The 23,842-nt window shown below is 44.5% G+C and overlaps 1 protein-coding gene across 7 annotated transcripts in view; it reads left to right on the top strand.

Moving 5' to 3' along the window:
* Nucleotides 504-23,842, top strand: part of CNNM1 (cyclin and CBS domain divalent metal cation transport mediator 1) — a 64,975-nt gene continuing 41,636 nt past the window's right edge. For all 7 annotated transcript variants that reach the window (NR_144311.2, NM_001345887.2, NM_001345889.2 and 4 more), the window contains exon 1: nt 504-2,108. Coding sequence is in view for 6 of the 7 variants with exons in the window: in NM_001345887.2 (NP_001332816.1) it covers nt 536-2,108 (1,573 nt within the window). In the remaining variant the exon portion in view is untranslated. The remainder of the gene's footprint in view (nt 2,109-23,842) is intronic.

Below are 23,842 nucleotides of genomic sequence, written 5' to 3' on the forward strand. Positions count from 1 at the left end.
ATTCGGATCTTAACTAAGAATTGAACTTAAATAATCCAGAAATGTTTACAATAATGAAAGGTCGGCTGGAGTTGAGGCTAAAAGTTTTCACATATTCAAGACTTGACTCCAGAATATTCTTTTGACCAGAAGGGGGAATGCAAGTGGCAGGAGAAGCGAAAAGCTGGGAAATTTCCCGGGCCAATGGGGAAGCAGTGGAGCCGGCAGGGAATTACTGCCGGGTAGGAGTTCGCAGAGGAGCACCTTACTTTTGGAGTAGGAGGCCATGCTGCAAACCCAGACTTTTCAGGCTGCATCTCAGATATACCGAAGTGTGTACCCGCTACGCACAGTGCGGTGATGCCTGGCCACCTCCAGCCTCCAGCGGGGACCTCCTGCCCAGGTGGAGTCTGAATGCCCACCGCCACCAGCCCACGCGCGCAGTGGGCGTACACGTGGTGACCTGCCTGCGGCTGGGTTCCCAGCTCCGGCTCCTCCTCCCTCCAGCTCTCGCTCGGCTTCCTGCAGTATCACGTGCAGCTGCGCTGGGTGCAGGATGGCGGCGGCCGCGGCGGCGGCAGCAGCGGTGGGTGTCAGGCTCCGGGACTGCTGCAGCCGAGGCGCTGTGCTCCTGCTCTTCTTTTCCCTGTCTCCTCGGCCCCCGGCCGCCGCCGCCTGGCTGCTGGGCCTGCGGCCCGAGGACACTGCTGGAGGCCGCGTGTCCCTGGAGGGGGGCACCCTGCGCGCCGCCGAAGGCACCAGCTTCCTCCTGCGTGTCTATTTCCAGCCAGGACCGCCGGCCACCGCCGCACCGGTGCCCTCACCGACCCTCAACTCGGGGGAGAATGGCACCGGCGACTGGGCTCCGCGGCTCGTGTTCATCGAGGAGCCCCCGGGCGGTGGCGGCGTGGCCCCCAGCGCGGTCCCCACTCGCCCCCCGGGACCGCAGCGCTGCAGGGAGCAGAGCGACTGGGCATCGGACGTGGAAGTCCTGGGGCCCTTGCGTCCCGGGGGCGTGGCAGGCTCGGCCCTGGTCCAGGTGCGAGTGCGGGAGCTGCGCAAGGGCGAAGCGGAGCGGGGCGGCGCGGGCGGTGGCGGGAAGCTCTTTTCACTCTGCGCCTGGGATGGGCGCGCGTGGCACCACCACGGCGCCGCCGGCGGCTTCCTGCTGCGCGTTCGCCCGCGGTTGTACGGCCCAGGCGGGGACCTGCTGCCCCCTGCGTGGCTGCGGGCGCTCGGGGCGCTCCTGCTGCTAGCCTTGTCGGCCCTGTTCAGCGGCCTGCGCCTGAGCCTGCTGTCGCTGGACCCGGTGGAGTTACGGGTGCTGCGGAACAGCGGCTCGGCCGCCGAGCAGGAGCAGGCGCGCCGCGTGCAGGCCGTTCGCGGCAGGGGGACCCATCTGCTCTGCACCCTACTCCTGGGCCAAGCCGGAGCCAACGCGGCCCTGGCTGGCTGGCTGTACACCTCGCTGCCGCCGGGCTTCGGGGGCACCGGGGAAGACTACAGCGAAGAGGGGATCCACTTCCCGTGGCTGCCGGCGCTCGTGTGCACCGGCGCGGTATTCCTGGGCGCCGAAATCTGCCCCTACTCAGTGTGTTCGCGGCACGGGCTGGCCATCGCCTCGCACAGCGTGTGCCTGACCCGGCTTCTGATGGCAGCCGCCTTCCCCGTGTGCTACCCGCTGGGCCGCCTGCTGGACTGGGCGCTGCGCCAGGAGATAAGCACCTTCTACACGCGGGAGAAGTTGCTGGAGACGTTGCGGGCCGCAGACCCCTACAGTGACCTGGTGAAGGAGGAGCTCAACATCATACAGGGTGCCCTGGAGCTGCGCACCAAAGTTGTGGAGGAGGTGCTGACCCCCCTGGGAGACTGCTTCATGCTGCGCTCAGACGCGGTGCTCGACTTCGCCACTGTCTCCGAGATCCTGCGCAGCGGCTACACTCGCATCCCAGTGTACGAGGGTGACCAGCGGCACAACATTGTGGACATTTTATTTGTCAAGGACTTGGCCTTCGTGGACCCCGACGACTGCACCCCGCTCCTCACTGTCACCCGCTTCTACAACCGGCCCCTGCATTGTGTTTTCAATGACACCCGACTGGACACGGTTCTGGAGGAGTTTAAGAAGGGTGAGCAGTAGTCTATCTTCTCCCCCAACTCCTATCCCCTTCAAAGGTATTATCCTTTCCTAACCACGTGAGGCTCTAGGTACCCAAAGCAATTTCTCTCCTATGGTACTAAAAACCCAAGGAAGACTCTACCTCTTGGCTCCCTGGCTATTTTCATCTCACTTCTGCCTCACTTCTTGCTCCTGATTGAGCCCCAGGCCTCTTTCCTCTCTACTTGATTCACAAGATGCACCATATTCCTTATTTGTTCCATTCTACCAGGTTTTTCCAAGGCCTACCAAATGTCAGATACTGTGTAGGTGGGAGATAGCCCTTGAAGGTCATTGCATAGCTCCCCACCTATTACAGGAGACACCTCTGCAGGTTCCCATACAAGCAGCCTTTGCTTTAAACTCCTCCCAGGGCCGAAAGCTCACTATTTACAGAGCAAACTAATTCCATTGCTGGACAGCTCCAGTGGCTGACAATGTTTCCTCATATAGAGCAGAATTTGTGTCTCCAAATCCTTCTACCTCTTCTGCCTTTTGAATCATGTAGACTAAACCCAGACACCTTAGACGTTCTTCCCCATACTTAATTTCCCATCAGGTATTGATTGCACACATATCAAGTACTCAGGTCCAGGGCCGGGCGCGGCGGCTCATGCTTCTAATCCCAGCACTTTGGGAAGCTGAGGCGGGAGGATTACTCGAGCCCAGGAGTTCAAAGCTGCAATGAGCTGTAATCCCACCACTGTACAAAAGAGCAAGACCCTGTCTTTGCCCGGGGGGGAGGGAAGTACTCAGGTTGGGGGTTAAAAGTTGACTAAGGCAGTAGGATCCTTGTAAGTCTGGGAACTGTGGTCCTGTGAAATAGGATAGATCTGGACCTGAAGAAATATTCTGGGTAGAGGAGATCCTAGAAAACTTGCATACCCAAATGAGTGGGGTTTCCTTCAGCGCAGTCACCATCTTCCAACTCTCCTCCCCAAACTCAAGCTTGATGTCATGCTTATAACATGTTTACTTCATGTCTGAGTTTGTCTTCAGAAAGTGCCTTCTGGTGACTACAAATTCACTCAAGAAAAATCAGCCTGGATACATTAGAGTCACCCCTCTTGGCATTACACAGTTTGACCGCCCCCCTAGTTCACCAGATTTGGCCCAGAACCCTTGATTGTTTTTTAAAATCAAATCTACTTTCAAGAGTCAACACTGAGAGCATTCAAAAGACTATCTCACAAACCCTGAAAGCAACACCAGACATCATAATTTGAAAACAGGGACATAATTAGAATAAGTGTAGAACTTCCCAGAATGACTCCTTTGAAGGAGGCATTCATCTGATATGAGTTGGAATGTTTATTAAAAACAAAAACCAAAAAAATCAATCCCTTGACTTCAGATTCAGCCTTCAGATATAGCTTCCTAATGGCTAGCAGTACTCTCATTTAACTGCATTTTGTATAAATTTTTTGTCAAAAATTTAATGTCATGATAATTTGAGCCCGAGGCTGCAGTGAGCTATGACTGTGCCACTGAACTCTAGCCTGGGTAACAGAGCAAGACCCTGTCTCAAAAAAGAAAGAAAGAGAGAGAGAGGAAGGGAAGGAGGGAGGGAGGGAGGGAAGGGAAAATTCAATCTCACTACTTTAACATCATAAATAATCTTTAGAACTTTGAATACAAACAAATCTGGGGTCTTTTTCCTGCCACAATTTTTGAAATCATATTAAATATTAAAATGTAGCCTGGAAGGGGGGAAAAAGGTCTAAAAGCTACTTTCAGTCTCAGATTTGAGAGAACAGCCCTAGACTTTGTGTTGGTATGATGAGAAGGGAGAGAAATGTATATATGGCAGCTATTTTAGTCCATTTTCGGTTGCTGTCTCACCCTGTTCAGTCCATCTCGCCTTAATCCTTGCATTCATAGTTCCCACTGCAACTTGAGGTTCATCTATCCACTCTTAGAATTATGCTTACATTTTGTATATCTTACAGAAGTAGGGTCTTAGATCTGGGCATTGGGTGGCATAAACCACAGAAATTTATTTCCTCAAAGATCTGGGGGCTAGCAGTCCAAGATCAAGGTGTCTGGCAGGTTTGGTTCCTTCTGAGGCGTCTCTCCTTGGCTTGCAGTCACCACCTTCTAACTGTGTCCTGACATGGTATTTCCTCTGTATGCATGCATCCCTGGTGTCTCCTTGTGTGTCCAAATTTTCTCTTCTAACAAGGACACCAGTCAGATTGGATTAGAGCCCACCCTAATGGCCTCATTTTAACTCAGTCACCTCTTAAAACTGATAGTTAAGATACAGAGCAGTTAAGATAGTGTCTCATTGTCATGTGCTGGCAGAAGATGTTTTAAATGAAACTCCTGTGAACTCATTCATTCATTTGTTTAGGTTTGTTTGTTTGTTTGTTTGAGACAGAGTTTCACTCTGTCGCCCAGGCTGGAATGCAGTGGCGCCATCTTGGCTCACTACAAACTCTGTCTCCTGGGTTCAAGTGATTCTTCTGCCTCAGCCTCCCAAGTAGCTGTGATTACAGGAGTGCACCAACACGCCTGGCTAATTTTTGTATTTTTAGTAGAGACAGGGTTTCACCATGTTGGCCAAGCTGGTCTCGAACTCCCGACCTCAGGTGATCCACCTGCCTTGGCCTCCCAAAGTGCTGAGATTACAGGCATGAGCCACTGCACTTGGCCTCATTTAGTATTTTTTAAACATCTATACAGTTTTAGGCAACAAGGGAGACAGGAAGACTGTCCTCAGGAGGTTAGCAATATACAGGGCATAATGAGCAGTCTTTCGAAGCAGGAATTGTCATATCAACTCTTATATCCCCAGCACCTTACACACTGCCTTGTAAATAGTAAGCTGTTCCAAAAAGTTGATATTGATCTGAAATGAATCCCTGTGCAGAATTTCTAAACCTGGTCGAAAAAAGCTCCTTTAGTGTTCTATTAATAGCTACTTTGTATTTAGGTAGAGCACTAAAGAGAAGCAAGCCATTACAGAGAATACTATACCAAGGAAGATATTTCCACTTCCTTTCATAGCCTTGCTACTTCCTCAAAGTAAGGTCCGTGAAACAGCAGCATGAGTCTCACCTGGGAACTTATTAGAAATGCAGAATTTTATGCCTCACCCTAAATCCACTGAATGAAAATCTGCATTTTAGCAAGCTGCCAGGTGGCTCCTATGTAACATTAAAGTTTGAGAAGCATTGCCTTCAGAGACCCCTTATTAACAGTGTTTGGTAGATCTACTTAAGATAGAATATAAGACATAATGAACAAGGTGGATGTTCTCAGGCTGCAAGCCATATAACATAGTGGTCATTTTCTTTAGGAGTTATACATTTGCACCATAGGTTAGGAGGTGAAAGCTGGGTTGAACTGCTTTCCTTTACCTTTAAAAATAACGTTTTTGGCTGGGCGCAGTGGCTCACGCCTGTAATCCCAGCATTTTGGGAGGGCGAGGTGGGTGGATCACCTGAGGTCAGGAGTTCGTGACCAGCTTGGCCAACATGGTGAAACCCCATCTCTACTAAAAATACAAAAATTAGCCAGGTGTGGTGGCACACACCTGTAATCCCAGCTAATTGGGAGGCTGAGACAGGAGAATTGCTGAGACAGGAGGCGGAGGTTGCAGTGAGCTGAGATCGCACCACTGTACTCCAGCCTGGGTGACAGAGAAAGACTCTGTCTCAAAATAAATAAATAAATAAGAAAAAAATAATTTTTAAAGCTGGTCTTTAATAGCTCTTCCATTTTCCTTACTTCCTTGCTTCTCAAGTAACGTAACCACCAACAAATCCCTTCGAAGGTAGAAGAGGAAAATGACGATATTAATAGGAGCCACAGTTACCATTAATTGAGCACCAACAGTTCTTCCAGGCACCATGCCAGGCCCTTTACATACTCAGAACAACCCTCCTGGGTAGATGTCATTAACTACATTTTACAGATGAAGAAACTAAAGCTCGGATCAATAACATGACTTGTACAACTTTCCATAACTAATAACTGACTGAACTGTGATGTGAACTACATCTGTAGGACCCGAAAGCCTGTTCTTTCCCTGCTACACCTGTCTTATTCCTTCCTCCATCCTGGAATTCCTGCCACCCACAGGGTTCAAAGGTAGCCTTTTCACCTCTGATTGCTGCCCATGGCTGATTCACCTCCAGTTTCTGCAGGTTAGTAATGTAGCTTTATAATTACAGTAATTGCTAACATGCATATTGCACTTGATAAAACATTTCTATATACCTTCTCTTGTCCAATCTTAAACAACTCTGCAGTTACAGGTGATGATATGGGATTTTATCTTTTTACTTCTTATGAGTTGCAAGTCTTTAGAAGTGGGGAAGAGGAAAATGGTCTTTCACACTAGAGTGTGAGGTTTACAAAAGGGAACAATATTTCTCACCACTGGACTGTAAGTTCCTTGAGGACAGAGAATGAATCTTACTTATTTTGTATTCTCAGGACAAGTATAGTGACCGCCATGGCTAGGGGATGTATAACCATTTATTGAATAAATGGTTTTAAATACCTAACTTCTATATTTCTATGTTTGAGTGAGGTGAACCCTAAGTACGGAATAATTAATGTTGTTCCTTGATCCCAGCAAATCTCTCCTCTTCCTCTTCATGGGCCTCTGTCCCCAGTAAGTGGCACCACTTGTCCCTTTAGTCTCCCAGACTAGAAAGCTTTCCTTTGCATTCACCTCATCCTATTAATCATTGTCGTCTGCACAGGCTGTCATTAGAAAATAGCATAGACTGGTGACCTAAACAACAGAAATTTATTTTCTCGCAATTCAAGGCTTTGACATCCAAGATCAAGGTTTTGGCCAACTCAGTTTCTGGTGAGGACGTTCTTCCTGGCTTGCATGTGGGTGCCTTCTCTCCATGGCCTTTCCTCAGTGCCTGTCCACAGACAGCAAGAGGCTCTGGTCCTCTCTTCTTAGAAAGACATCAATCCTGTTGGATTAGGGCCCACCCTTATGCCATCATTTAATCTTAACTACTATACTTCCTTAGAGGCCTCTCTGGGTGTCGTTAGGGCTTCAACATATGAATTTTGTGGGAAGACAAACATTCAGTCCATAACAATCACCAAAGCTGGCCAAATAATTGGATGCCAATATTGCATCCAACTGCAGTCATGTCATTTTGGTCAATGATGGACTGCATGTATGATGGTGATCCCATAAGATTACATTGGAGCTGGAAAATTCCTGTCACCTAGTGATGTCCTAGCAGTCATAACACCTAACATCGTCCTAAGGCAACACATTACCTTTACTATGTTTAGATACGCAAATACTTACCATTGTGTTACAATTACCTACAGTATTTGGCACAGTAACATGCTCTACAGGTTTGTAGCCTAGGAGCAATAGATTATAACATATAGCCTATGTGTGTAGTACACTATATCCTCTAGGTTTTGTGTGACTACATTCTATGATGTTCACACAATCATGAAATTGCCTAGCAATGAATTTCTCAGAGAGTGTCTCCATAGTTAAGCAGTGCATGACGATTTCTTAAATCTGTACATAATTTAATCCACTATTTGTTCCACTTAGGTTATTCACTGATTTTATTCAACAAATAGTTGTGTTGGCACAGTGGAGAACATCATCAACATAGTCCTTGTCTCTATAGAGCTTCACTCTAATACAGGAAACAGAAATTAAACGAACAGGATAGTGATTAAGAACATAAGATTTGGCCAGGCGTGGTAGCTCACTCCTGTAATCCGAGCACTTTGGGAGGCCGAGACAGGTGGATCATTTGAGGTCAGGAGTTAGAGACCAGCCTGGCCAACACAGTGAAACCCCGTCTCTACTAAAAATACAAAAATTAGCCGGGCAGTAATGGTGCACACCTGTAATTCCAGTTACTCAGGAGGCTGAGGCAGGGAGGTTGCAGTAAGCCAAGATCATGCCACTGAACTCCAGTGGCAACAGAATGAGACCCTGTCTCAAAAAAAGAACATAAGACTTACTAGAATGCCTGGGTTGATACTGGCCCTGGGCAAATTACTTAACTGTTTATGTCTGTTTCATTAGCTGTAAAATGAAAATAATACTAATATTTACTCATAAGATTGTGTGAAATATTAAGACTATCGCATTATGCTTACTTACTACCTGTCATGTAAGTACTAAGTAGATGTTAGCTATGATTATTAAATATAAACACAAGTCTATTACTCATTTATGCAAATGCCTCCTAAGAAGTTACACTTTTTCACATTTTTGTCTCCCTCAAATTCGTTCTCTCTAGTGCCACTAAAATAATCTCCAGTAATGTCACTGCTTAAAACCCTTCAGCAGCTCCCCGCTGCCTACGGGAGAGAGGCTAAGCTGGTAAGGCAGCCAGCAATGCACTCATGACCTGCTTCTTGCCCTCCCCTCCAGCCTCATCGCTCACCACTCCCTGCCACAGCTTTACCCTCCAGCAATGCTGAACTCTGTGGTGCACTGTGCTATTCTTGCCTTTGTCCCTTTATTCACATTGCACTTCTGTCAGGAATATGCTTTGCCTGACTAATTCATTGCCAGCTCTTTGACACTCAGCTCAGGGGCCTCCTCCTCTGGGAGACTTCTCCTGTAAACCCCAAAATACAAAAATAGATTTTTTGGCCAGCTTCATTGTTTTATGTGCATATCTCAATCATTGAACTAACAAGCTGTACTACCAGTGTTTGTTTATAAGTGCCTCCCACCCATATAATGAGCATCTCCAGGGCAAAACTGTCTTATCTGTCTTTGTAGCTCCAGCAGCTAACGATGCATATGACACATAGTAAATTTTCAATGAATGTTTGTTTAAGGACTGAATGGATGACTTAAGGAGTTAAACTTTAATATAATGGAAGAGATCTGCAGAGCACTAGAAAATGAATTAAATCATTTTGGACTATGCAGCAGAACAAATCAAACTTATAAGTTTGTTAGTGTTAGAAGAAAAGTGTTGCATCTATTGTTTCTCAGCTTCTTTAGGTACATCTATTAATATTTATTACAACAATTTCTTTTCACATGTAAAGCACTGTGCTAAGAGTTAGGGGTATGAGATAAAATCTCTGTTCCCAAAGAGCCTAAAGCATAGTGGATGAATAGCACTTCCCTTTGCAAAGCTAGAAGGCAAGCTGGACACTCACCTTTCCCATGACTTCCAGTGACCTTGAATTTACAAGTCATGTCTCAGTATATAAGTACAGGATATGGGTAAGACAGACCTTGGTACATAAAGCATTAAAATGAAAGTGCTATACTAGAAATGCAAAAATGCAATGGGAACATGGAGGATACAATAACTATGACTAGGTGGCATTTTTTTTTTTTTTTTTTGAGATGGAGTCTCACTTTGTCGCCCAGGCTGGAGTGCAGTGGTGTGATCTCGCCTCCCAGGTTCAAGCGATTCTCCTGCCTCAGCCTCCCAAGTAGCTGGGACTACAGGCATGTGCCACCATGCCCGGCTAAATTTTTGTATTTTAGTAGAGACGAGGTTTCACCGTGTTGCCCGGGGTGGTCTCGAACTCCTGAGCTCAGGCAATCCGCCAACCTCGGCCTCCCAAAGTGCTAGGATTACAGGTGTGAGCCATTGCACCCAGTCATATTTTGCTTTTATAAATTTTTTACTGAAGTTTATGTTTCTATAATTTATACAGAAAAAAATTTAAATATAGAATAGTAGAAAAAAGAAGTATGAAAATCATATGAGGATAATCATCCCACTATCCTGAAATAGTAACTCAATATTTTGTCATATTAAAAATATATTGCACATAATAACAATCTTAATGAAATTCTTAAAAAGAAAACAAAAGGAAAAGCCCATTGTCCTGCCATCAAGCACAAATCAAATGTCCCATTCTAATCTTAAGAGTGATTTTCTTATAGGGTGGTATTTTTGCTATAGTTTCCTCAGGGTTGAGTGCTATAATTTGGGAAGACTAATTTTAAAAATGGAGCCGTAGAGATTTATCATACTTCTTAAATTTACTACTCTATTATTGGATTGCTTTTAGGAGACACTGAGTTCTGTATAGACAACAGGGGAAAGGAATAAAGCTTTGTTCTGAAGTCAAAGCTTCTGAGTAATACAGCACTGACTGACATTTAACTCAATTAAACAATTCAGCTTTGCTGGGCTAGTAACACCATCTTTGCAAACAAAAAAGCACAACCCACGTATGCTAGGCTGCTCCACCTGTACACTAGCATGGCTGTAACACAGCCTACTGCACAATCCATACTCAGTCTTTGCTTATTCATTGATTCATTCAGTAAACATTTTTTGAATTCCTGCTTTGGGCCAGGCATTACACTAGACTCTGGGAATACAGTGGTGAGCTAGGCAGACATTATGGAGCTAAAAATATCCTCTTCCATCTTTGGTCTTCCTGCAAGTGGTCTGTTGCCCAAAGCAGGGGTCCCTAACCCCCAGACTGCAGAATGGTACCAGTTTGTGGCCTGGTAGGAACTGGGCCACACAGTGGAAGGTGAGCAGTGGGCAAGCATTACTGTCTGAGCCCCACCTCCTGTCAGATCAGCTGGGGCATTAGGAGCGAGAACCCTATTGTGAACTGCATATGCAAGGAATCTAGGTTGCGTGCTCCTTGTGAGAATCTAATGCCTGATGATCTGAGGTGGAACAGTTCCATCCCCAAACCATGCCCCCTCCCACCCTAGTTCATGGAAAAATCATCTTCCACAAAAGCTGTCCCTGGTGCCAGAAAGGTTGGGGACCTCTGGCCTAAAGTATTCCAACCAGCCAGTAAGTGTTCCTGGCCCAGACACACAATGTGACCTTTTCACTGCAGAATAATCTAGTCCAAAATGCCAGTGGTTTACTTTACACTCCAAATGCTGACCGTAGCTATTTTTGCAGGAAGAATAACCATTCCATTGCTTAATTCTATACCTGCCAAAACATTAGTGCTATATTCTTTGTCTTCCATAAAAGAAAATAAATTTTTTCATTCACAGTTACATTTCACTGTTATAAATAGATGTATTACGTTTTTAAAATGTGTTAAATGTTGCTAAATAATAATTAGTAAAATTTGTAATGAGATGCTTACTTTCTAAACAATAGAGCAAACAGTAAACCAAGTGTAGTCCATTGTATATAGAGAGAAAGAATGAAAGGAAATGAAAAAGTGAGAATAATATTCAAGATGATAAACTTGTGGGGTTTTTTTCCTTTAAACATTTTCATTGTGATTGTTATAATGTTGTTATGTTCATTTTTTTCCAGCCTGGCAAAAGAAATGCCAGGTAACAATAGAATCTGAACTGGAAGGGGCACTGAAAAAACCTGTGAGAGAATCTCATTCACACTTTTTTCAGATTTAGTTATCTTTCCCGGGCCATACCAGCCTTCACTGTCAAACCTGTCTTTTTATCTAACTAAATCCCACAGGCTGCAGTTAAATTCCATTTTTTCCATTTATCATCCTTTGTGAGTATTCTTTTATTTGAAGAATATCATAGCTCATCTCAATTCGATTTTTTAGCTACCAAATACATTTGATTGTGTTTCTCGCTCCCTTAAAGCATTTGGGTGTCTCCAAGGAAGGTCTGTGGGTTTTCCTAGTAGTACTGTCATAAAACGAGTTCCTTCTAGGCCCATGTTTGGGGATTCTGGGACCTTCAATAACAGCTCTAAATTCTCTTTTTATTTGCTACTGTTATATTCCTTTTCAAAATGGGATTCTCCTCAATTCTTTTCTTTCTTTCTCTCTCTTCCCTCCTTCATTCCCTCCCTCCCTCCCTCTCTCTTCTTTCTTTCTTTCTCTCTCTCTTTCCTTCTTTCTTTTCTTTCTTTCTTACTTTCTCTTTCTTTCTTTCTTTTCTTTTCTTTTCTTTCTCTTTCTCTTTCTCTCCTTCCCCGCTTCCTTCCTTCCTTCCTGCCTGCCTGCCTGCCTGCCTGCCTGCCTGCCTGTATTGAATGGCCATTCTCTGTCAGGCCTGTGTTAGGCACTGGAGATGCAGTGTGGACAAGACAGACACCATTCCTGCCCTCCTAGGGCTTGCAGTCGAGTAGGCGACACCAAGCAATAAATAATTACAAATTGTCCTAAGTGAGTTGAAGAAAAAGTATAGGGAGCTCTGAACATATAATAGATAGACTTGGTCTTATAGGTAAAGAGACTCTCCCTTGCCAAGTGGTATTTGAGCTGAATCCTAAAGAACGGTGAGAAGGAGTTCATCAGAGGAAGAGCTTCCCAGGAGACAGGAACAGACATGCAAAGGCCCTGAGGAAGGAGGGCCAGCATGGGTGCCATGCTGGGCTCCTGGGCTGTGTGACATCCAGGAGGGAAAGTGCCACCTCTGCCAGCCACCCTCCTGTTTTCCCCCAGTGACTCTCAACATCGTCTGGGCAGGTCAGTTCAGTAGCATGTACTGAGTACCAGGGCTCGGCAGATAGACATGGATATAAATGCAGTGCTGAACCTGCCCTCCAGGAACGAGAAAGAAGGAAGGGCCATGATGGAAATGATGATAAGAGGCAGCCTGGGGTACAGGCAAGGGAATCCAGAAAACATCTGTGGGTGAAAAGGGAAGGGAGAAATAGTCCCTGGGTGATCTGAGAAAACTTTTCTGAGAAAGTGGAATTTCAGCTCAGCCTTAAAGAAGGAGAAGGACCCTGCTAAGCAATTATGAAGGGAAGAGTGTTCCAGCTGAGGCAGGAGTTTGAGCTGAAAAAGAAAGGCAGAGAGGGAGCCGACACTGTGTCTGAACGCTGGGAAAGCCATTATCATAATGCTGCTTTTCTTCCAGCAAAATGGGGAGCTAGGCAGCCGAAGATATTTGTCAAACATAATTTTGTTTCCTTCAAATGCTAAAACTGTATATTTTAACCATTTTTGATGGTGATATTTCTAAAATGTTTTATACCCATTCCTGCCTTTCTTAACAAAGGATTCTAAATATAACTTAATCTTTTCTTGATGACGCAGGATCATGATCATGAGAGTGTAGTTATTTTATGCTGTATTCCCTATTTTTTACATTTTTTTCTGTCCTCTGGCTGACAGCTGTTAGTTCTCTTTGAATCTGCCTCCAGCAAATCCCTGCCCCACCGTTCTCCACAAAATCACTCTTCCTGTGTATATCTCACTTACAGTTTCTGTTTCACTGATAAACTAAGTGAATACCATGTTGAGAATCATGTGCCTGATATGTAGTATACTTCAATCAATACTTGTTGGTTAAATGATTAGTTAGGTTTTGACTGTAAGCCTAGGGTAGGGAGTCAATGGAGAGACCTGGGACAGTTCTTTCTGGGACCATATTCAAAACAGTGGGAAGTCAGACCTCCAGATAATGGGTTGTTACTCTGCTATTTTTACAGTGTTGCTTAGCAAGCCAAACCACCAACTGGCTTAGATTCTGGTGACGAACAACTATTTTTTCATGCCCTAGTGATGTTGGTTACCATGGTGCTCTGGATGACACAGTTGGCTTTTTTATAATTGCCTTTTAGTGGCTCAAGAATTTATTTTGTGATAAAGGTGTTGATTATTTCTGATAAAATAGAGCAGGATAATTACTATAAAGTACAGCCTTTTTTTTAAGCTAGAGAAAGGGACAGTTTTGTTTTTCCAAATCAAGGCGGTTGCTGCAGGATTGGTAGAATAACATTTTTGTGTTTCTCTTCCTGATTTGGTAGGGAATGATTTCACTTGATTGTATAGTTAAAAACAACAACAACAACAACAAAAATCTAGTATGTGTCAAGGTAGCTGTTTCTCATCTCATTCCAAAGGAGGCTTTCAAATATTAAGATACAAAGATTAGGAGCTCAGAGCCCTTTATAAACACAAGAGGCTCTAACAGCACTGTTAAAATTCTGGCATATATCATTGCAAAGAAGTATCCTGTAAAACCAAACTGTTTTGTAGCCCAGAACTGTTTAGACTTATAAAAGCATAAAATTTTAGAGCCAGAAATGGAAACTTGGTGATCACCTAGTCCCATCTTTTTTTTTCTTTCTTTCTTTCTTTTTTTTGAGATGGAGTCTCACTTTTGTCGCCCAGGCTGGAGTGCAGTGGCACAATCTCGGCTCACTGCAACCTCCACCTCCCGGTTTCAAGCAATTCTCCTGCCTCAGCCTAAGTAGCTGGGATTACAGGCGCCTGCCACCACTCCCAGCTGATTTTTGTATTTTTAGTAGAGATGGGGTTTCACCATGTTGGCCAGGCTGGTCTGAAACTCCTGACCTCAGGTGATCTGCTCACCTCGGCCTCCCAAAGTGCTGGGATTACAGGCATGAGCCACCGTGACCGCCCGGCATGTCTTTTATGATTGAGAAAACTGAGGCACAGAAAGGACAAATACTAAAAAGAGAAATGATAATCCCTCGTAGTTGCAAAGGCGTTATGTTTATTTATTGGCAAATGTTTTTTAATGACCATATAAACAAATATCACAGCCATATAAACAAAATTTCCAGTTTAGTAATTCATTGTGTGCCCACCATAAATGTGAGGTCAGCAGTTTTTATCCTCATTTTGTATATGCAGCACCAGAGATCTAAAGACAGAAGTGTCCTGCTCAATGTTAGTGACAGAGGTGGAACCAGAACTCACATGTCTGACTTGCCACCTCAGACCATGGAGCCAAGGACACAGACAGAGGGTCCCAGAGGCCTGAACTCAGATCCCAGCACCTTCGTTGACTAGCTACGACTGGGGCAGGTCACTATATCACTCTGAGACTTGTCTTCCTTCTTTTTTGTTTTGTTTTGTTTTTTTGTTTTGAGATGGAGTCTCCCTCTGTCGCCCAGGCTGGAGTGCCTTGGCATGGTCTCGGCTCACTGCAAACTCTGCCTCCTGGGTTCAAGCGATTCTCCTGCCTCAGCCTCCTGAGTAGCTCGGATTACAGACACCCGCCACCATGCCCAGCTAATTTTTGTTTTGTTTTTTTTTCGGTAGAGATGGGGTTTCACCATATTGGCCAGGCTGGTCTCGAACTCCTGACCTCAGGTGATCAGCCCGCCTTGGCCTCCCAAAGTGCTGGGATTACAGGCATAAACCACTGTGCCCGGCCTATTCCCCTTTTAAGAAGATGGAAGATAGGCCAGGTGTGCTGGCTCACCCTTGTAATCCCAGCACTTTGGGAGGCCAAAGTGGGCGGATCACCTGAGGTCAGGCGTTCAAGACCAGCCTGACCAACATGGTGAAACCCCGTCTCTACAAAAATATAAAAATTAGCTGGGCATGATGGCGGGTGCCTGTAATCCCAACTGCTCAGGAGGCTGAGGCGGGAGAATCACTTGAACCCGGGAGGTGGAGGTTGCAGTGAGCTGAGATCATGCCATTGCACTTCAGCCTAGGCAACAGAGCGAGACTCCGTCTCAAAAAAAAAAAATAGGTGGGGGTGGGGGGGAATAGTGATACTACATTGTGAGTTTACTCTGAAGGCTGAAGACAATTCCAGTATAGCCCTAAAGAGACTCCACCATTTGCCTCTTACCTCCCTGATCTAGTTAAATTAATTGTATACAGTTAGTCATCTTGTATAACAAGTCCTTTCTCTCTCTGATCCAGCCCATGTAAAACTGTATATAATAAGAAAACAAAATTGAAAGCTGTTTACTTTGGGTAGGGCCCAGGGGATGAAAATTGGACCGTAGGAGGTTCCTTCCATTTCTTTTATCCTGTTATCAGTTAGAATTCAGTTTCCTCCCCCATCACTCTGCTCTTCCTCAGACATCTCAGGCAAATAAAAAAACCTGACCATTTAAACAAATAACACAGCAATATAAACAAAACTCCTCAAAGCTCCAAGCAGTCTACTAAAATAAAATATCAGGCTAAACATAAGAAGGCTTGGATTTGAAGGCGAAGTGTAGCAAGGAGGTGGAATTGTGACTCCTTTCCCCTTCCCAGTTCAAAGCCGTTCTCCTCCCTTGCTAATCACTAGGGAGGTGCCGGGCATTAGCTCAGCATGCCTTCCTGCAGCCTCCAGGCATTTACAGAGTATGTGCCCATTGCTCTTAACACGTCAGAGACAGTAAACCTGAGATTTGGCCTGGAATGTGGAGTCTGCATTGTGTTGGAAAGAGCACAAGGTCAAGAGGCAGACAGACCTGGGGTTGTTCCTGGCTCCATCACATACTAATATTGTCCTTGGATAAGTCATTTTATTTTTCCAAGTCTCAGTTTCCTTATCTACATATTAGTAATAACAACCCCCCTTTTGCAGAGATATTATGAAGACCAGAGGTAACATATGCACCCAATGTACAGTAGGTATTACAGAAACTACTATGGCAAAAACTAGGAAATGGAGTCTCAGGATTCAGCTTGGTTTACATCAAAAATGATATGGAGAACACTGACGAATCTGTAGGCTGTCTTCAGCTGCAATGAAAACCTTCAAAAGCGTGGATTTTAAGATCATCTCAGGTATCTAGCTTACTTCAAACAGTGCCCCTGAGAGTCCACATATCTCTCTTCTCCCAGGGACTAGCCTAGCTTGACCACACTCCCTGGCTGGCCCAGAACTAAGTGATGACTAAAGTTGGCCCTGTTTGCCTTTCAATGTATCCTCCTCATATCTGAGGTTGGTTTGTGACCTGAGAATGACACCATCTGCCAAAGCATAGCCAAATCACTCTGGGTCACCATGGTGATTTTTAAGCAGGGGATTCTGGGTATGGTTAGGCTGAACCCAGAGAGAGAGAGTCAAACTGACCACCCAGGCAGTCTCCAAGACCAGTTCTGTATCTGAGAGGCCTGAGCTTAATGTATCCAGACTTTTCTAGTTGGGTCTTGAAGCTTTCCAGAAATCCTAACCAGGGCTCAATTTTGGCTTCACCATTTATTGGCGGAGTATTCTTGGAACGGTTATTTTATTTTTGTTTTCTTTTATATTTTTTAATTTAAAAAAATTTTTTTAAGAGATGGGGGTCTTACCATGTTGCCCAGGGTGGTGTCGAACTCATGGCCTCAAGCGATCCTCCCGCTTCAGCTTCCCAAAGTGCTGGGATTATGAGCCACCACCCTTGATTCTGCATTGCCTCTGGACCAGCTATTTTATGAACAATACGTTTTGACATAGTAGTGGGAAAGAAGGCAAAAAAAATACCAAAAAATCATAGGAGCCTTTAATGCAAGGAAGAAGAGTTCAGAAATGATCCTGCTTAGTCTTAAATGATCCTCCTACATGTGATTGAGATGGGGAGTAACCTCACAAATGCAGTATTTCGGGGATCGTTAATCCGGTTTTAGTGTACAAGATGTATTAGGGCTAGAAAAACCAAAAGGATGAATGGTTAGGATATTGGTGCAGTTGTCCAAGATGGGATGAGGGCATAGAAATTAAGGACACTTTGAATTAGAGGAGGAAAAAAATCTCTTAGACTTCATTACATGTGAACACTCCTCCTCAGTCTCCTTTACTGGTTCTGCCTACATCATATCCACAGATGTATCTTCAGCACCTGGCACAGTGCCTACCCATAGCAGATGCTCAAATATTTGTCCCATGAATGTTGCATTTCTATGACCTCTAAATGTTACAGTGCCTCAGGGCTCAGAAATTGATCTCTTCTCTGTCTACTCTCATTCCCTCGATTATTTCATTCATTCTCCCAAACTTATCAACATGAACTCCAGACTTACATTTCTAATTGCCACTGAACATCTCCACTTAGAAGTCTAAAATACATCTCAAACTTAAACCTGCCCAAAACTGAGCTCCTACTCTTTTTGCCAAACACACTCCTTAAGTGATCCTCCCACCTCAGCCTCCTTAGTAGCTGGGATTACAGGCGTGAGCCACCATGCCCAGCTAATATTTTTAATTTTTTATAGAAATGGGCTTTCACTATGTTGTCTAGGCTGATCTTGGAACTCCTGGGCTCAAGCAATCCTCCTGCCTCAGCCTCCCAAAGTGCTGGGATTACAGGCGTGAGCCACTGCACTCGGCCTTATGTCTATTCTTAACACAGCAGTTTAGCAAATGAACGCAGAAACAGAAAACCAAATACCGCATGCTCTCACTTATGAGTGGGAGCTAAATAATGAGAACACGTGGACACAAAGAGGGCAACAGCAGGCACTGGAGGAGGGAGAGGATTAGAAAAAAATACCTATTGGGTACTATGCTTAGTACCTGGGTGATGAAATAATCTGTATACCAAACCTCTGTGACACGAATTTACCTAGATAACAAACCTGCACATATACCCCGAACCTAAAATAAAAGTTAAAAGAAAAAAAAAACACAGCAGCTAGAGTTCCTTTTAAAATATAAGTCAGCCAGGCACGGTGGCTCACACCTGTAATACCAGCACTTTGGGAGGCGGAGGCAGGTGGATCACGAGGTCAGGAGTTCAAAACTAACCTGGCCAAGATGGTGAAACCCCATCTCTACTAAAAATACAAAAAAATTAGACTGGCATGGTGGCAGGCACCTGTAATCTTAGCTACTTGGGAGGCTGAGGCAGAGAATCGCTTGAACCCGGGAGGCGGAGGTTGCAGTGAGCCAAGATCACACCACTGCACTCCAGCCTGGGGGACAGAGCAAGATTCTGTCTCAAAAAACAAAACAAAACAAAAACAAAAACATAAGTCAGATCATGTCACCTTTTTGCAACACACACACACACACACACACAAATGTTGCAATGGCTTGTTTTTATGTCACTGAGAGTAAGACCCAAAGTCCTTACAAAGGCCTTCCTGGCTCTATCACATTGGCACCTCCCCTACCCCTCAACTCCCTGACCTTGGCTCCCACTACTTTCCTCTCCCACGTTCTACAGCCACCGCATTGGCCTCCTTGCCATTCCTTAAGCACATCAGTTACACTCCCAATGCATGACCTTTACACCCTGTTCTACTGCAGAGATCTCCACAGGGCTCCCTACCTCACCGCCTTCAGGGCTTTATTGAAACATCACCTCAGGGAGTTCATCCCCGTCTCCCTTCCCTAAAATTGTAACACCTGTTCTCTCACTCCCACACACTCCCTCATCACTATTCCCTGCTTCGCTTTCCCCTTAGCAGTGTGCTATATATATTTTTTTATATATATGATGTGTGTGTGTGTGTGTGTATATATATATATTTTTTTTTTTTGAGACAACATCTCACTGTCACCCAGGCTGGTGTGCATTGGTGCAATCATTGCTAGCTGCAGACTCAAATTCCTAGGCTCAAACAATCCTCCTGCCTCAGCCTTCCAAGCAGCTGGGACTACAGGCATGCACCACCCCACCTGGCTAAATTTTTTAAAATTTTTTGTAAAGATGAAGTTTTGATTCATTGCCCAGGCTGGTCACAAACCCCTGGGCCCAAGCAGTCCTCCTGCCTCAGCCTCCCAAAGTGTTGGGATAATGGGCTTAAGCCACGGCGCCCAGCCTTATGCTATATATTTTAGATATGTATTTGCTTTATTATCTCTTACCTCTACTTACAAGAGTGTAAGCTGCCGGAGGAAAATGATTTTGTGCATTGTGCTCATTGCTGCATTTCAAGTGCCTAGAAGAGTGCTCGGCATGTAGCAGTCATTCAGTAAGTACTTGTTAAAAGAATAAAGGAAGAAGAATTGAAAGAATGTGGGGATTTTTTTCTAAATTGACATAAAGGAAAGATAAAAGATGACTCTTGGGTTATGACTTAGGGTAACTAGAGTTAATGGTATCATTTACTGTAGTGAAGACGGAGGAAGAGCAGGGGCAATGTGTCTTGAAGATTAGGAGTTCCTATTTGGGTAAGTGATTTTGACAAGAGGACAGCTCAGGCAAAATATCTAAAACAGGAAGGGTGTTCAAAATAGACATCGAGGCCAGGTACAGTGGCTCACACCTGTAATCCCAGCACTTTGGGAGGCCAAAGTGGGCAGATTGCTTGAACTCAGGAGTTTGAGGCCAGCCTGGGCAACATTGCAAAGCCCCATCTCTACAAAAACAAACAAACAAACAAATAAACAAACAAATAGCCAGGCCTGCTGGCTTGAGTCTGTTGTCTTAGCTACTCAGGAGGCTGAGGTGGGAGGATCCCTTGAGCCTGGGAGGCGGAGGTTGCAGTGAGCTGAGATTGCACCACTGCACTCCAACCTGGGCAACAGAGTGAGGCCCTGTCTCAAAATAAAAAAATAGAAACCTATGTTCAGATATAAATCCAGTTCTCAGTAAAGAGGTGATTGTGATATTTAAATTAATAGGCTTTGCTGGGATCTTTAATCAGCAAGAGAGATGAGCGGAAGATCAAAGACAGGAGCAGAAGTTCTTAACTGCAAGTGCCCATTAGAATCACCTGAAGAAGTTTTAAACATTCCAGTGTCCCAGCCTCATCCAAGATCAATTAGATCAGAATTTCTGTGGGTGGGACACAGGCATCAGTATGTAACTCCAACGTGCAGCCAGGGTCGAGAATCACGAGTCGGAGTCTTTAAGATATATTTATCTGTAGGTGAGGATTAAAAAAAAGGAATCCACAATGGAAATAGAAAAGTTCCAATCATAAGGGTGGGAAGAGAAGTAGGGTAGTCTTGACCAGGATTTCTGATACCCAAGTGTGCGTAAGAATCACCTGGAGATATTGAGGAAATGCAAATTCTGATTCAGAAAGCTAAGATGAGAGCCTGAATTTCTGCTTCCCTCACAAGCTCCCAAGTGATACCATGTTTCCAATCCAAGGACCACACTTTGAGTAGCACATGTCAAGAGCAGTGTTTCTCAAACTTTAGTGTGCATAAGAATCACCTGGAGAGCTCATTAAAACAGCTATCTGGGCCGGGCGCAGTGGCTCACGCCCGTAATCCCAGCACTTTGGGAGGCTGAGGTGGGCGGATCATGAGGTCAGGAGATCGAGACCATCCTGGCTAACACGGTGAAACCCCGTCTCTACTAAATATACAAAAATTAGCTGGGCGTGGTGGCGTGTGCCTGTAGTCCCAGCTACTCGGGAGGCTGAGGCAGGAGAATTGCTTGAACCCGAGAGGCAGAGGTTGCAGTGAGCCAGGATCACACCATTGAACTCCAGCCTGAGCAACAGAGTGAGACTCAGTCTCAAAACAAAACAAAAAAACACAAAAAACAGCTATCTGGACCCTGCCCCACCCAGCAAGATCCTGATTCCGTAGGGCAGGGATGGGACCTCAGATCTTGCATTTTGAACAAAGGCCCAGGTAGTGTTCATGCTGCTACTCCAAGGAATACATTTCCATTGGTACCAAGTGACCAAGACCAAGGTAAGAAAGAGGAGACACTCAATGCTGTCTACCAAATGAATAAAAGATGCTGCAAGCACACCTGGAAGAAGAACGTAGCAAAAGCCACTATATTTTATAAGGTGAAGGTCACAAGTGAGGCAGAAACCATAAAACCATAAAACGATTTTGCTTAGTTCTCTATTTCCAAGCAATATGCTTTCCTCCTAGCTTTTTATTTTATCTTGGGAACAGTTACCAAAGTGCTGTAGCTATTTTTGAAGAAGAGAGGAAGCAAATCAATTATTTGCCTTTTTGTTCCCCTAAGGCATCAGAGGTATGCTAATGGAGTCCTTGAGAGCTCTTATCTATGGATGTGCCTAAACCATGTAGAATAGATGAGGCTATATTTATTAAAGACTTTGGAGGCTATTTTAGCTTCTTCAGATACCAAAATACAGTTGTGATGTTGCTGCCACTGCCTTTCTGTATATTTTTACATTTTTTTAAATTTCAGGTTCCGGGGTATATGTGCAGGATGTGTAGGTTTGTTACATAGGTAAACGTGTGCCATGATGGTTTGCTGCACCTATCAACCCATCACCTAGGTATTAAGCCCAGCATACATTAGCTATTTTTCCTAATGTTCTCCCTCCCCCAACCCCACCCCCCTAATAGGCCAGGGCTTTCGACCTCAATAGTATTGATGTTTGGGGCCAGGTAATTCTTTGCGGAGGGGACTGTCCTGTGCATTGAAGGATGTTTAGCTTCATCCCTGTCTTCTACCCACCAAATGCCAGTAGCATTCCCTGCCCCAAGTTGTGACAACCAGATTGTCTCCATACATGGCCAAATGTCCCCTGGGGGGCAAAATCACCTCCATTTGAGAACCACTGCTTTAAAAGCAATGCCTGAAAACCTCATCTTCTAAGAAATCTGACTTGTAGTTTGGGTATGTCGATACGAGGTAGTGATGATAACACCTTAGGTAGAACACTGCCAGTAACCAGTACTAGGACTGCCCTTTGGATTCTTGGGGCAATGGAAAACACTAATTTGACCTTCAGTAATGGGTAATTTTACTGACCTCAAATGTGCCAAGAGCCTAATAGGTAATGTGGTATCTCAAGCATGTCTCAGAGGAGATTAGTACAGAAGCCACAAAGAGACCCTTTCCCAAACCCAGCGTTGAATAGTCAATTACTACTTTTTGCCCACTTTACCACATATGCCACATATGCCACTTTACCACATATGCCATTAGGAAGTAAAGGTAGAAATGGTAAACAGGTAGAGAGGAGAAATAATGTGTGTTAGATACAAGCATTTGCCCAGAGAAAGATGGGAATGCTTGGGATATTTGAGCGCCCACTGCCCCAGTTGGACCCAGTTTAGGAGTTGTAAATATTCACAAGTCATCCCTGAGAGTTGATGAGGTTTCTGAAAGATGTGAACCAGGCCAACAGCTCTTTGTTCTCATATTTTCCCTCTCCTGCCTGTGATAAAGCCCTCATCCCTGTTCACCATTTCCGCCTGCACAAAACTCATAATACGGTGCCTTCTCCCCTATTTCTTGTCTCCCAGTGGCCTCACCTGTGGCAGACCGTTTTTACTCTCCACACATCCTAGAGCACAAAATGATCATGTGTGCTGGAAGTTATTACCCAAGTCCAAACCAGCATTCCTCTCATTTCAACCCATTCTCTTTACGAAGCAGTCCCTACTTTTACTCAACTTGTGTTGCAGGTTGTAACTTTCAGCCACACCAACTTCCTGCTCATTCAGGCATGGATTATTATTTTTTTCAATTGGCTTTCTTTTTAAAAAATAATAGCTTCATTGAGATAGGATTCACGTACCATAAAACTCATCCTTTTAAAGTGCACACTTAATGCATTTTTGTATATTCAGAGTTGTGCAGGCATCCCTACTAATCTAATTCCAGAACACTTCATCACCCCAAAAGAAACTCTGTACTCACTTAGCCATGCCCCACACTCTCCTTTCCCCAGCTTCTGGCAACCATGATCTACTTCTTCCCCTGTAGATTGGTCTATTCTGGAAATTTTACATAAATGGAATCATACAGCATATGGCCTTTTGTGTCTGGCTTCTCTCACTTAGCATAATGCTTTCAAGGGTCATCCATGTTGTAGGGTGCACTTCATTCCTTTTGATGGCAGGTTAATATCCAATTGTATTGATATAACACATTTTGTTTGGAAACATGTACAAGTTTTTGTGTGGACATATGTTTTCATTTCTCTAAAAGTAGAATTGTCGGGTCATTTGATAATTTTGTGTTTAACATTTTGAGGAACCACCAGACTATTTTTCAATCCCACCAGCAATGTCTGAGAGGTTCAATTTTTTCTGCATCCTAACCAACATTTGTTATTATCTGTCTTTTTTATTATTGCCATCTTGTGGGTATAAAGTATCTCATTAGCATCTTGATTTGAATTTCCTTCATGATGACAATGTTAAGCATCTTTTCATTTGCTTATTAACCAATTGTATATCTTCTTTGGAGAAATATCTGTTCAAATCTTTTGCTC

Source organism: Homo sapiens, chromosome 10 (genome assembly GCF_000001405.40).
Source record: "Homo sapiens chromosome 10, GRCh38.p14 Primary Assembly".
Taxonomy (NCBI): domain Eukaryota; kingdom Metazoa; phylum Chordata; class Mammalia; order Primates; family Hominidae; genus Homo; species Homo sapiens.